This window comes from Homo sapiens, chromosome 1 (assembly GCF_000001405.40).
Source record: "Homo sapiens chromosome 1, GRCh38.p14 Primary Assembly".
Lineage (NCBI taxonomy): Eukaryota > Metazoa > Chordata > Mammalia > Primates > Hominidae > Homo > Homo sapiens.
Window position 1 is genome coordinate 39,787,256 of NC_000001.11, and position 12,023 is coordinate 39,799,278.

The following is a 12,023-nucleotide window of genomic DNA, read 5'->3' on the forward strand; positions in this document are numbered from 1 at the left end:
CTCTCAGCCCCACAGCTCCCCGACTTTGGGCTGATCTGTGGTCCTTGGTTCCCCAGACCCCAGACTGTCACTAGCCACAGACAGGAGGCAAAGCAGATGGGTGACCTGACCAATAGTAACTACATGACCATAGACCAAAGAGTTTAGTACTGGAAAAAAAATCTCTGAGATCTTAGGGAATAAATAGCTCCAGGGTTTGATACAAGATATTTGCAGACAGGAAAAGCCGGGCTTTGCCTGGGAGAACAAAGTGGGTCCAGCTGCCCACTGGACCATTCCACAGGACTGGACACTCACCCCATACCAGATCACATCCCAGGTGTTGGGCCCAGGGTGACAAGGCAACAGTCCCTGCCCCAGCGAGCTGAGTTTGCTCCTTCCCCAGCCGCCCCCCTGACAGCCGCACCCCACCCAGGCTCCGCACAGAGAAGAGCCTGCTGTGGACTCAGGGCACGCGACTCAGCTCTGGTCACTCCGATGTGACCACAGGTTTCCACGCTGAACTTTGTCCCTCTCCTCAGTACTGCCCTTATCACAGTGACAGCATCCCGGCCTCTGTTTACTCACCTGTCTCCCCAGGACCAGGCTGTCTTCCCGGGGCAGCCCAGGTGGGCAAAGACATCACCTGATTCTTACTCCTGGGTGTGTTTGGGGCAGGGTGAAGGCAGCGCCTGGGAGTCCACAGTCCCCCACACTCTGCTCCTGACCACCCCGCAGCCCAGGGGGCCCCCATGACCCTTAGACCTTCCCTAACCACGGCGGTCCCACTCCCCTGTGGTTCGCGTCCACCGTCTGTGACTCCCCGTTCGGCCAGGGCCCGGCACAGCCCGCGGATGCGCGCCCCTCCCCTGCAGCCAGCTTACTCCGAGGGTCCCCGCGCGGGCGGCCGCACTCACCCATGTTAACGAAGCTCATGACCAGGTCGGCGCGGCCCAGGCGCCGCTCCGCGGGCGCGCCGTCCTCGTCGTCGTCGCCGGCCATGGCGTGGTACAGGTCCAGCATGAAGAGCGGCGCGGACGCGGGCAGCCGGGAGGCGGCGGGTGGCGCGCGGGGCCGGGGCCGCCCAGGCAGCCCGAGCACCGCCAGGATCTCGCGCTGCACGTCCCGGCGCTCGCGCGCGCCCAGACGTCGCTGGGGACAGCCGGGCGGGGGTCGCAGGCCGGGGCCGCCCCCGCCCAGCGCGCATAGCGCCAGGCCCAGGAGCCAGAGCGGGCCGGGGAGCGCGGTCATGGCAGGCCGGGGGCGCTCAGCTGGGGCGCTCAGCGGGCGCGCATCGGCTCCGCGGCCGACCCAGGGCCTGGGGACGCCCCGACGGCAAGGAGGCTGGGCTCGGCGGGCGGCGGGCGGCGGGGCGGGGCGGGACGGGCGGCGACCGCGGCCTCAGCGCGGTCCCTGGAGCGCCCGCCGCGCGACACCTGTCCTGGCTCCTGGACGAGAGGACGCGGACGCCACCGCCTCGAGGCCGGGGCTACTCTGCGGACTGGGACTCTCGGCCAATCCGTCTGTCGCCGCCGTACCCGCCAGTCCGGCTGTGGCCGCGGTCCGAGCAGCGCAGGGGCGATGGGCGAGCTCCTGCAGCCACCCGCTTGGTGCGGTTCCCGCGAGTCCCTGCCCTGCCCTGCCCAGCGGTCCGCGTCGCCCGCCCCCACCCCGGGACTGACCAATGGGGGGGCGGGGGCGGGGCCTGGGAGCGGGGGCCACGCCTGCGAGGGGGCCCGGGGCTGCGGCCGGTGTCGCGGGTGGGGAGACCCCGAGGTGCTACCTGGGCGTGGCGGGTGGGCAGGCGGCCCGGGCGAGGGGCTCGCAGCCTGGGCGTCAGCGTGGTCATGGCCGTCGTGGCTTCCGCCGCGGGCCTCGGCGCAGAGATCCTAGGGCCGCGGCGCCCTTCCGGTCCCGCCAGTGGTGCCACCCGGCCGCCCCGCCGTCGCGTGCGCGGGTCGCCATGGCATGCTGCAGGCGCCTCCTTCCCGGCACCTGCTCAGCTGCTCCTCCCCGCGCCCCCACCTGGCTCCCGCGTGAGCCTGGGCAGCGCCCCAGGCAGGCCGCCCCCGCCAGCCCTCGCTGCGCGGCGTGCGCCCCCTGCGCCCCCAGTACTGATCCAGCTTCGCGGGGGAGACGCGCACCCGCCTCCTGCCTTTAGCCGGGCCAGGAGCTCTGGGGCCCTTCTGGAGCACCCGGGAGCCACCTGTGCACTTCTCAGTCGCCACGGCCCCGGTGCAGGCCTGGCAGGAGAAGGATCCCCGCGGAAATGCCTCTACTAACTCAGCCCCTTTCTGCACTCTCTGCTCTTCTCTGGGCGCGCTCTCGCCTTACTTATTCCTGTGTGGTTCAGGCGCTGCGGAAGGAGAAGGCACCTAGACTGTACTGGGAAGGCTCCTGGAGTTGACCTGGAGCGCCAGGAAAGGTCAGTGGAGGAAAGTGCTCCAAGCAGAGGGAAGAGCTTGTGCCAAGGCCCTGAGACCCCGGCGGGGGAGCCTAATAATGGCAGGTAACAGTCAGCACTTGCCACGCGCGAGGCATGTTCTCAGTGTGTGTCTTGTGTCATTTCTGTGATGCTTGCACATCGTCAGGGGGTACCTACCACTGGAACCTCCTCTTTTAACAAATGAGGAAACTGAGGCACACAGCGGTTAAGGGACTTACGCTAGGTCACACAGCAGTAGAGCTGGGCTGGGGCAGGGGGCAGCTCCTCAAGTGGAACCTGGAGAGCCCACGGGGCAAATGGCGGAGGCTGGAGGGGCTGGCAAGGGAGGGACTGCAAAGGGCCTCACAGGGGCTAGACGAGGGCCCTGGGCACCAGTGATTATGGTGCCCCCCCATGTGGATTGAAGATTAAACCTCGAAGCAAGTGTATAATGCCCCCAAAAATCACATTTAGAAGTCATCACTTCAATAAAAATTTCTATATTAAATAAATTATTAATGTAAATGGTCATTTGCTGGCTCCTTAAGCACATGCCTAGTCTGTCTTTTACCGAAGAAGTAAATTTCTGCAAGGGTAAATAATAAAATGAAATAAAATAAATATTATTATTACACTATTCAGAGCACTAAAAGAACTACTTTTTCCTGATTACAGAGGTAACTTGCTTTTGTAGAAACTTTTGAAAATAGTTTCATAATCACTTTTGCACATCATCAGGGGGTACATACCATTGGAACCTCCTCTTTTAACAAATGAGGAAACTGAGGCACACAGCGATTAAGGAACTTATGCCAGGTCAGTACAGAAAAGTAAAAATATTACCCCCAACAAATTTTAAAATCACCCAAATCCCTGTTTCCAGAGATAATCACTGGTAATATTTGATGTCTCTTTTTCTTACATGTATGTGTATTTTTTCATACAAAAAACAGGATCTTATTTGCTTTATTAGCTTCACGTTATATTGCAGTATTTCACTATGCCATTAATTATTGCACACTTTTTTTACTGGCTTCGTGGTATTTTTTCATCATATTGTTATCATAATTTTTTTAATCAAGCTTATGTTATGGGATAATTATATTTTTATATTATATACTATGTTGTTATGAACAATCTTGTAGAATAATCTGTGCACATCCATGGTGATTTCTTTAGGATGAATTTCTAGAGATGGATTTTTTTTTTTTTTTTTTGAGATGGAGTCTTGCTCTGTCACCCAGGCTGGAGTGCAATGGTATGATCTTGGCTCACTGCAGCCTCCGCCTCAAGTGGTCTTTGTGCCTCAGCCCCCTGAGCAGCTGGGATTACAGGCGTGCACCACCATGCCTGGCTAATTTTTGTATTTTTAGTATACACAGGGTTTTGCCATGTTGGACAGGCTAGTCTTGAACTCCTGGGCTCAGGTGATCTGCCCACCCCAGCTTCCCAAAGTGCTGGGATTACAGGCGTCTAGAGATGGAATATTTGAATCAAAGAGCATATACACTTTTTATGGTTTTTGATACATATTATCTGTTGCCCCAATAGCACGAGGGTGCTTATTTTCTATCACCCTTACCAACACTAGATATAACTGTTAAATACATAAATAAATCAATCTCTGCTGGTTTGATAGATGAAAACCTCTCTGCTGTTGTAACTTGCATGTGGAGGGTTACTACACACTGCTCTCTTGTTTTTGAAACCCTGTCCTCCCCTGGCTTCAAGGACGCCTGCTCCCTTGCTGACCACTCCTCCCTGCCCACTTCTAAAACATGGATGTCTGCTGGGTCTGTCCACAGTCCTGTTCTCCCCTTAGACTTGACCTGGTGATGAGCTCATCCACTGAGGCTTCAGTGCCGCCATACAGTCACACCCAACTCCAAATATATTAGTAGGGCAGGCCTTCCTGCTAGATGCCAGAAGCTACATCCAATGACCGATAAGACATGACCAGAGCCAGAAGCCAAAACCCTGGCGCAGACACACGTCCCTCCCTCCCAAGGGCAGTTCAGTCTATTGATTCTACCTTCAAATGCCTCTTGAATCCCTGAGCCTGTGCACGCCCCTTTGCACTCAGGTGTTTCATGGAGCACCTCCTCCCCACTGGTCTCCTTATGTCTCATCTCACTACCCACCCCACCCAGCCCTCACTCATTCCGCAGAATGCATATTTCCAAATGAAAATCTGAATCCTTCCATGGCCTTTCATTGCTTACAGCAGAATTTCCCCAGGTGAGGATTCTGAGGGCTTTCCTGCAAAAGGGGTTCAGTACACACTGCGCTATATATTTCCCCCTTGGTAGAGCCCTCATGCACTTAGCACTTTGTAAGCTCTAGAAATCCTGCAGTAAAAATAAATAAATAAGTAAATTAAATAAATAAATAAATAAAAACCTGTTTAGCCTTAACTTGGCTTCTTCCAAATGCATGTGACTATAGCTTTTTAGTTTTTTGAGGACCACATCTTGGGGACCAGCAAGGCACAAGGTGATAAGCGCCCAGGACCCAGTGGTCTGGCATCATCACCTGGCCCCTGCTGCTGACCCATCTCCACAGTTTTTTTGTTTTGTTTTGTTTTTGTTTTTGAGACGGAGTCTTGCTCTGTCGCCCAGGCTACAGTGCAGTGGCGCAGTCTCGGCTCACTGCAAGCTCCACCTCCCGGGTTCACGCCATTCTCCTGCCTCAGCCTCCCTAGTAGCTGGGACTACAGGCGCCCGCCACCACGCCTGGCTAATATATTTTTTTTTTTTTTTGCATTTTTAGTAGAGACAGGGTTTCACTGTGTTAGCCAGGATGGTCTCAATCTCCTGACCTCATGATCCGCCCGCCTTGGCCTCCCAAAGTGCTGGGATTACAGGTGTGAGCCACCGCGCCTGGCCAATCTCCACAGTCTTATCTGGCTGCTAACCCCATATACTTGGCTGCAGTCCCATGGGAATACTTGTGGTCCTCCTACCTGTCCTCCTGTTGACACTTCTGTTCACCTGAACATGTGGTTTCCTGTACCAAGAAGGGAAACCCCTTTCCCTGTCTGGTCAGGTGTTACCTCCCTTTAAGATGCAGTTGAAGTAACACCTCCTTTTCCTGATGCCCTCTTCACCTTCATGAGCAGAGCCATTTCTTCCTTCCTCACTCTCTCAACCACTCCTTTTACAAAATAAAAGGGCATGTATTCACATGTTTGTTCCCTGCACTAGGCTGAGAGCTTCTGCAGGCAGGGACCATCATCTTAATTTACCTTTGGATCCCAGTGCGAGGCTTGCATTTAGGGTTTCAGTAAGTATGTGTGAAACAGAGTAGCCTCTGTTTCTCTGAAATAGCCTCTGAAAACAAGAGTCTCTCAACAGCTTCAAGGAACGGATCTCGCAACCTTCATGAACTCAGTAAGAAGTGCTTCCATTGAGAAGTGCTCATTATTTCACGGGGATGAAGAACAGAAGCACCAAGCTGTGTTAAAGTGAGGAGTCAGTGGCCAGTGGGGCTCACTCTCTTCGCTGTGTGACCGGCTCTCTTGTACATCAGCAACAAATGCAAATCCATGAATCTTCATGACTGAAACCATAAGGTTAAATTCATGACTGCTAATACCTACTGCATATAGAAAATGAAAAGAAACAATTTTAAAAAGCAGAGAAAAGCTTTCCATAAGAAAGATGCTACAGGAAAGCCTGAGCGCAGTGGCTAATGCCTGTACTCCCAGCACTTTGGGAGGCTGAGGCGGGCAATTCACCTGAGGGCAGGAGTTCGAAACCAGCCTGGCCAACATGGTGAAACCCCGTATCTACTAAAAATACAAAAACTAGCTGGGCATGGTGGTGGTGCCTGTAATCCCAGATACTTGGAAGGCTGAGCCAGGAGAATTGCTTGAACCCGGAAGGCGGAGGTTGCAGTGAGCCGAGATCGTGCCTCTGCACTCCAGCCTGAGTGACAGAGTGAGACTCTGTCTCAAAAAAAAAAAAGGAAGGAAGGAAGGGAGGAAGGAAGGAAGGGAGGAGGGGAGGGAGGGAGGGAGGGACAAGAAAAGAAAAGAAGGAAGGAAAGAAAGAGAAACATGCTACAGGAATGGAGATTATCTCATGTTAACAGCGACACATTTAACCTTTGCATTTGTGATCTGAGGACCTTTTAATTATATTACAGGATCCTATAGTGAGGTCCTAGGTCATGCCTGTCAGCTCCAGAGGCCACCATGAGGTTGGTGCATCGTAACACCTCATTAAATGACTGCTGAGGGCCCAAAGGGTGTCTCACTTGCCTTTCTGGCTGGGTGCTGCTGGGAAAACTCCAGTTCATCATGTTCCCAGGGTGTGCTTACACGTCATAAAGAAACAAATAAACATAACAAGGCAGTCCTGTCTTCATGGGGGAGTCTTTAGTCAATGGGTCAGGTCACCTTCTGTTAGTAGACTAAATGCTTCAATTAAAAGCCAGGGCCGGGCGCGGTGGCTCACGCCTGTAATCCCAGCACTTTGGGAGGCCGAGGTGCGCGGATCACGAGGTCAGGAGATCGAGACCATCCTGACTAACATGGTGAAACCCCGTCTCTACTTAAAGTACAAAAAATTAGCCGGGCGTGGTGGTGGGTGCCTATAGTCCCAGCTACTCAGGAGGCTGAGGCAGGAGAATGGCGTGAACCCGGGAGGCGGAGCTTACAGTGAGCCAAGATCTGGCCACTGCACTCCAGCCTGGGCGACAGAGCGAGACTCCGTCTCAAAAAAAAAAAAAAGTCAGAAGACGGGCCAGGCATGGTGGCTCACTCCTGTAATCTCAGCACTTTGGGAGGCCACGGGGGGGAGCAGATCACCGGAAGTCAAGAGTTCGAGACCAGCCTGAAACCCCATCTCTACAAAAAATACAAAAATTAGCCGGGCATGGTGGCTTGCATTTGTAGTCCCAGCTACTTGGGAGGCTGAGACAGGAGAATCACTTGAACCCAGGAGGCGGAGGTTGCAGTGAGCCAAGATCACACCACTGCACTCCAGCATGGGCAACAGAGCAAGACTCCATCTTAACAAAAACAAAACAAACAAAAAAAAAAGTCAGAAGATGGCTGAGGTGCATGTGCCTATAATCTCAGCTACTTGGGAGAGAGAGTTGGGAGAATCACTTAAGGCCAGTAGTTCAGGCCAGCCTGGGCAACACAGCAAGACCCTGTTTTTTAAAAAAGTCAGAAGTTGTCAGATGAGTTAATTAAAAAAAGGCAAGAACAAATGACATGCTCTCTATAAGAGATGTTCTGTAAATATAAAAGCACAGATAGGTTGAAAGTAAATGAGTTGAAAAAGATATATCATGCAAAAAAAGGAGAAATAAGCCTGGAGTGGCTATATTAATATCAGGTAAACTAGACTTCAACATAAAGAACATTAGCAGAGATAAAGATGGATTCATTGCATCAGAATGCATCCTACTGAAACAGGAGGACATTATGTAGCACAACATGACAGGCCCAGAGTACACTAAATATTGTTGTGTATGGTTTAAAAGTGGTTTCAGAGTTCTCACACTTATTTTAGAAACCAGTGGAAATGGGTATTTTTTGAAGATTTCTACCTGAAATTAAATTTATTTTGTGATGCACCTGTAATCCCAGCACTGTGGAAGGCTGAGGCAGGAAGATCACTTGAGGTCAGGAGTTCGAGACCAGCCTGGCCAACATGATGACACCCTGTCTCTACTAAAAATACAAAAATTAGTCGGGAAGGGTAGCATGTGCCTGTAGTCCCAGCTACTTGGGAGGCTGAGGCAGGAGAATTGCCTGAACCCGAGAGGCGGAGGTTGCAGTGAGCCAAGATTGCACCACTGCACTCCAGCCTGGGTGACTGAGTGAAACTCTGTCTCAAAAAAAAAAAAAAAAAGTATTTTGTGAACCAAATGAGAATAGATTGGGGGTGGGGCAGGGGTGGGTGTGGAGGGAACCTCAAAGTGAAATTTACACATTGCCAAATCTGAATCAAATCAAAACAATTTTGGTAAAATCTTTGTGAGCAATGCAGAATCCCAGCAACAATTTGTTTAAACACACAGAGTAAGGAGCCTCCTCTCTGACCAGCAGCATACAGGATCTTTCATGGTGTCCTTTCACCCCTAGAGGGTTAACAGAGCAGAAGGTGCACTTAAGTATGCAACCAAGCAGCCCTTCCCTCCATGTAGCCGAGTCCACCCCTCATTGTAGGGGCACCCTTGAAGTTCATGCCTAGGTCAAAGTCCCCACACACAGCCTGGTTCTCAGCCAGCTGCAGCTTCAACTTGTACAACTAGTCTACCAAGGCCTGCAAATCATCCATGAACTGGCCCCAAAACAGCAGGGCCTCCTCCAACTTGTGCTGCCTAAGAAAAGCACACATAGGCCACTGTTTTTAGGGACCCATTTTTTGTTTTCTTTTTCTTTTGAGACAGAGTCTCGCTCTTTTGCCAGGCTGGAGTGCAGTGGCGTGATCTCGGCTCACTGCAACCTCTGCCTCCCAGGTTCAAATGATTCTCCTGCCTCAGCCTCCCGAGTAGCTGGGACTACAGGTGCCTGCCACCACCCTCAGCTAATTTTTTTTTTTTTTTTGTATTTTTAGTAGAGACAGGGTTTCACTGAGTTAGCCAGGATGGTCTCGATCTCCTGACCTTGTGATCTGCCCGCCTTGTAAATGACACTATCAACAGAGTGAAAGGCAACCCACAGAATGGGAGAAAATAGTTGCAAATCATATATCTGATAAGTGATTAATATCCAGAATATATATGTTTATTTTTTTCAGAATATATATTTTAAAACCTCATACAACTCAACAACAATAAAATAAACAACTCAGTTGTAAATAGGCAAAATACTTAAAAAATCCTCCAAAAAAAGATCTACAGATGGCCAATAAGCATATAAAAAGATGTTTAATCTCACTAATTATTAGGGAAATGCAAATGAAATCCACAATGATACCTCTTCATAATCATTAGAATGGCTATTATTTTTTTAAAAAACAGAAAGTAACAAGTGTTGGTGAGAACATGGAGAAATTGGAACCCTTGTGCATTGCTGGTGGGAATGTAAAATAGTGCAGCTGCTGTGGAAAACAGGATGGCAGCTCCTCAAAAAATTAAATATAGGGCCGGGTGCAGTGACTCATGCTTGTAATCCCAGCACTTTGGGAGGCTGAGGTGGTGGATCACCTGAGGTCAGGAGTTCGAAACCAGCCTGGCCAACGTGGCAAAACCCCATCTCTACTAAAAATACAAAAAAATTAGCTGGGCATGGTGGCATATGCCTGTAATCCCAGCTACTTGGGAGGCTGAGGCAAGAGAATCACTTGAACCTGGGAGGCGGTGGTTGCAGTGAGCTGAGATCGTGCCACTGCACTCCAGCCTGGGCGACAGAGTGAGACTCTGTCTCAAAAAAAAATTAAATATAGAATTACTATAAGATCCAGCAGTTTCACCATTGGGTATACTATATATAGATACTTTATAGATTTGCCTTACAAGAATGGAAGGGAGGGAATCAAAAAGAACAAATATTTACACATCCATGTTCATAGCAGCACTTTTGACAGTAGCCAAAAGGTAGAAACAGCCTAAATGTCCATCAACAGATGAATGGATAAATACATATTGTATGGCTATACAAGAGAATATTATTCAGCCTTAAAAAAGAAATGAAAATCTGACACTCACTACAACATGGATGAACCCCGAAGACATTATACTAAATAAAAGAAGCCAGACACAAAAGGACAAATATTGTATGATTCCACTCATGTGAGGTACTTAAAGTAGTTATATTCATAGAGACAGAAAGTATAGAATGGTGGTTGCCAGTGGCTAGAGAAAGGGGAGAATGGGGACTTACTGTTTAATGGATACACAGTTTCAGTTTGGAGAGATGAAAGAGTTCTAGAAATGGACAAGGCGATGGCTGCAGACAATGTGAATGAACTTAATGCCGTGAACTGTACACCCCAAAATAGTTAAAATTGTAATTATATATTTTGCTATAATTTTTTCTGAGACAGAGTCTCACTCTGTCACCCAGGCTGGAGTGCAATCATAGCTTATTGCAGCCTCTATCTCCCAGGCTAAAGCAATCCTCCTGCCTCAGCCTCCTGATGGGACTACAGCTACGCCATCAGGCCTGGCTAATTTTTTTTTTAATTTTATTTTTAGTAGAGATGAGGTCTTACTATGTTGCCCAGGCTGGTCTTGAATTCCTGAGCTCAAGCAATCCTCCTGCCTCAACCTCCCAAAATGCTGAGATGACAGGCGTCAACCACTGTGCTTGACTCATAATTTTTTTAAGTGCTGTAATCCCAGTGCTTTGGAAGGCTGAGGTGGGAGGATCACTTGAGGCCAGGAATTCGAGAACAGCTTGGGCAACATAGCGAAGCTCCATCTCTACAAAAAAAAATATTTTTTTAATTAGCTGGGCATGGTGGGACCTGACTGTAGGGAGGCTGAGCTGGGAGGATCGCTTGAACCCAGGAGTTCAAGATTATGGTGAGCTATGATCATGCCACTGCCCCCCAGCCTGAGTGACAAAGCAAGACCCTATAAAAAAAAAAAAAAAAAAAGACCAAGAGTAATGCCTACCAGGGGTGTCCAATCTTTTGGCTTCCCTTGGCCACATTGGAAGAAGAATTGTCTTGGGCCACACATAAAATACACTAACACTAATGATAGCTGATGAGCTTAGAAAAAAATTGCAAAAAAACCTCATGGTCTTTAAGGAAGTTTCTGAATTTGTGTTGGGCCGCATTCAAAGCTGTCCTGGGCTGCATGTGGCATGTGAGCCTCGGGTTAGACAAGCTCGGCCTTGACATTTGTACTCAAATCACTCTCTAGAATGGACTAAGCAGAGTGCAGGCGCAGGTACAGAGCACCTCTGACATCTTATAGTCCAATAACCATGCACATGGACACATCCTAGTGACCTGAAGCCTTTATTCATTCCTTCTACCCCTCCTGTGGTAAAGGGTGGTGGATGGTTGAGGGTGAAGCAAAGGTTAAGTCAAGACCACCTGCTCTGGCCAGGCATGGTGGCTCACATCTGTAATCCCAGCACTTTGGGAGGCCGAGGCGGGGGGATCACAAGGTCAGGAGTTCAAGACCAGCCTGGCCAACATGGCAAAACCCCGTCTCTACTAAAAATACAAAAATTAGCCAGGCATGGTGGTGCATGCCTGTAACACCAGCTACTTGGGAGGGTGAGGCAGGAGAATTGCTTGAACCCTAGAGGAGGAGGTTGCAGTGGATGGTGCCACTGCACTCAAGCCTGGGTGACAGAGCAAGACTCCGTCTGGGGAAAAAAAAAAAAAAAAAGAGCACCTGCTTTGCAGTCACACAGACAGGGGTTCACATCAAAGCTCCACGTGGGCCGTGTGACCTGGAACCTCTCTGGGCCTCTGACTCCTTGTGTGTTGGATGGGATCATAATTGTACCTGCCTAGAGAGCTGGGGTAACAGCATTACACAGGGCCCATGCTCACGCAATGAGTGAGTAAAACCATCTTCCAAAGGAAGAGGGCCTCCAGAGGCAGATGTGGGCATGGGCACCGCAGCCTGGAGTCGCAGCTCCTCCACTCCTGGCTTGGACCTCTGAGCCTCACTTCCTCTCCTGTAAAACACGCATGAG

At 50.3% G+C, this 12,023-nt stretch overlaps 1 protein-coding gene and 1 long non-coding RNA gene across 11 annotated transcripts in view, besides 4 other annotated features; one reads left to right on the top strand and one right to left on the bottom strand.

Annotated features, from left to right (window-relative positions):
* BMP8B (bone morphogenetic protein 8b) overlaps positions 1-1,610 on the bottom strand; it is a 31,684-nt gene extending 30,074 nt beyond the window's left edge. For all 10 annotated transcript variants that reach the window (XR_946750.3, XR_946748.3, XR_946749.3 and 7 more), the window contains exon 1: positions 897-1,610. Coding sequence is in view for 7 of the 10 variants with exons in the window: in NM_001720.5 (NP_001711.2) it covers positions 897-1,230 (334 nt within the window). In the remaining 3 variants the exon portion in view is untranslated. The remainder of the gene's footprint in view (positions 1-896) is intronic.
* Positions 1,562-2,161: a silencer, noted in NCBI's record as "silent region_713". NCBI's record gives its function as "represses an Ori minimal core promoter by ATAC-STARR-seq in GM12878 lymphoblastoid cells {active_cell/tissue: GM12878}" and the evidence as "EXISTENCE:reporter gene assay evidence [ECO:0000049][PMID:35858748]".
* Positions 1,562-2,217: a biological region, named in NCBI's record as "H3K4me1 hESC enhancer GRCh37_chr1:40254643-40255144".
* Positions 1,716-2,217: an enhancer, noted in NCBI's record as "H3K4me1 hESC enhancer chr1:40254643-40255144 (GRCh37/hg19 assembly coordinates)". NCBI's record gives its function as "activates a minimal SCP1, AML or CMV promoter by ChIP-STARR-seq in naive H9 embryonic stem cells {active_cell/tissue: H9 hESC(naive)}" and the evidence as "EXISTENCE:reporter gene assay evidence [ECO:0000049][PMID:30033119]".
* LOC101929536 (uncharacterized) lies at positions 1,721-2,916 on the top strand. Its single transcript, NR_135805.1, has one exon. It is a non-coding gene; the product is annotated as an uncharacterized LOC101929536 (long non-coding RNA).
* Positions 11,901-11,990: an enhancer, noted in NCBI's record as "active region_818". NCBI's record gives its function as "activates an Ori minimal core promoter by ATAC-STARR-seq in GM12878 lymphoblastoid cells {active_cell/tissue: GM12878}" and the evidence as "EXISTENCE:reporter gene assay evidence [ECO:0000049][PMID:35858748]".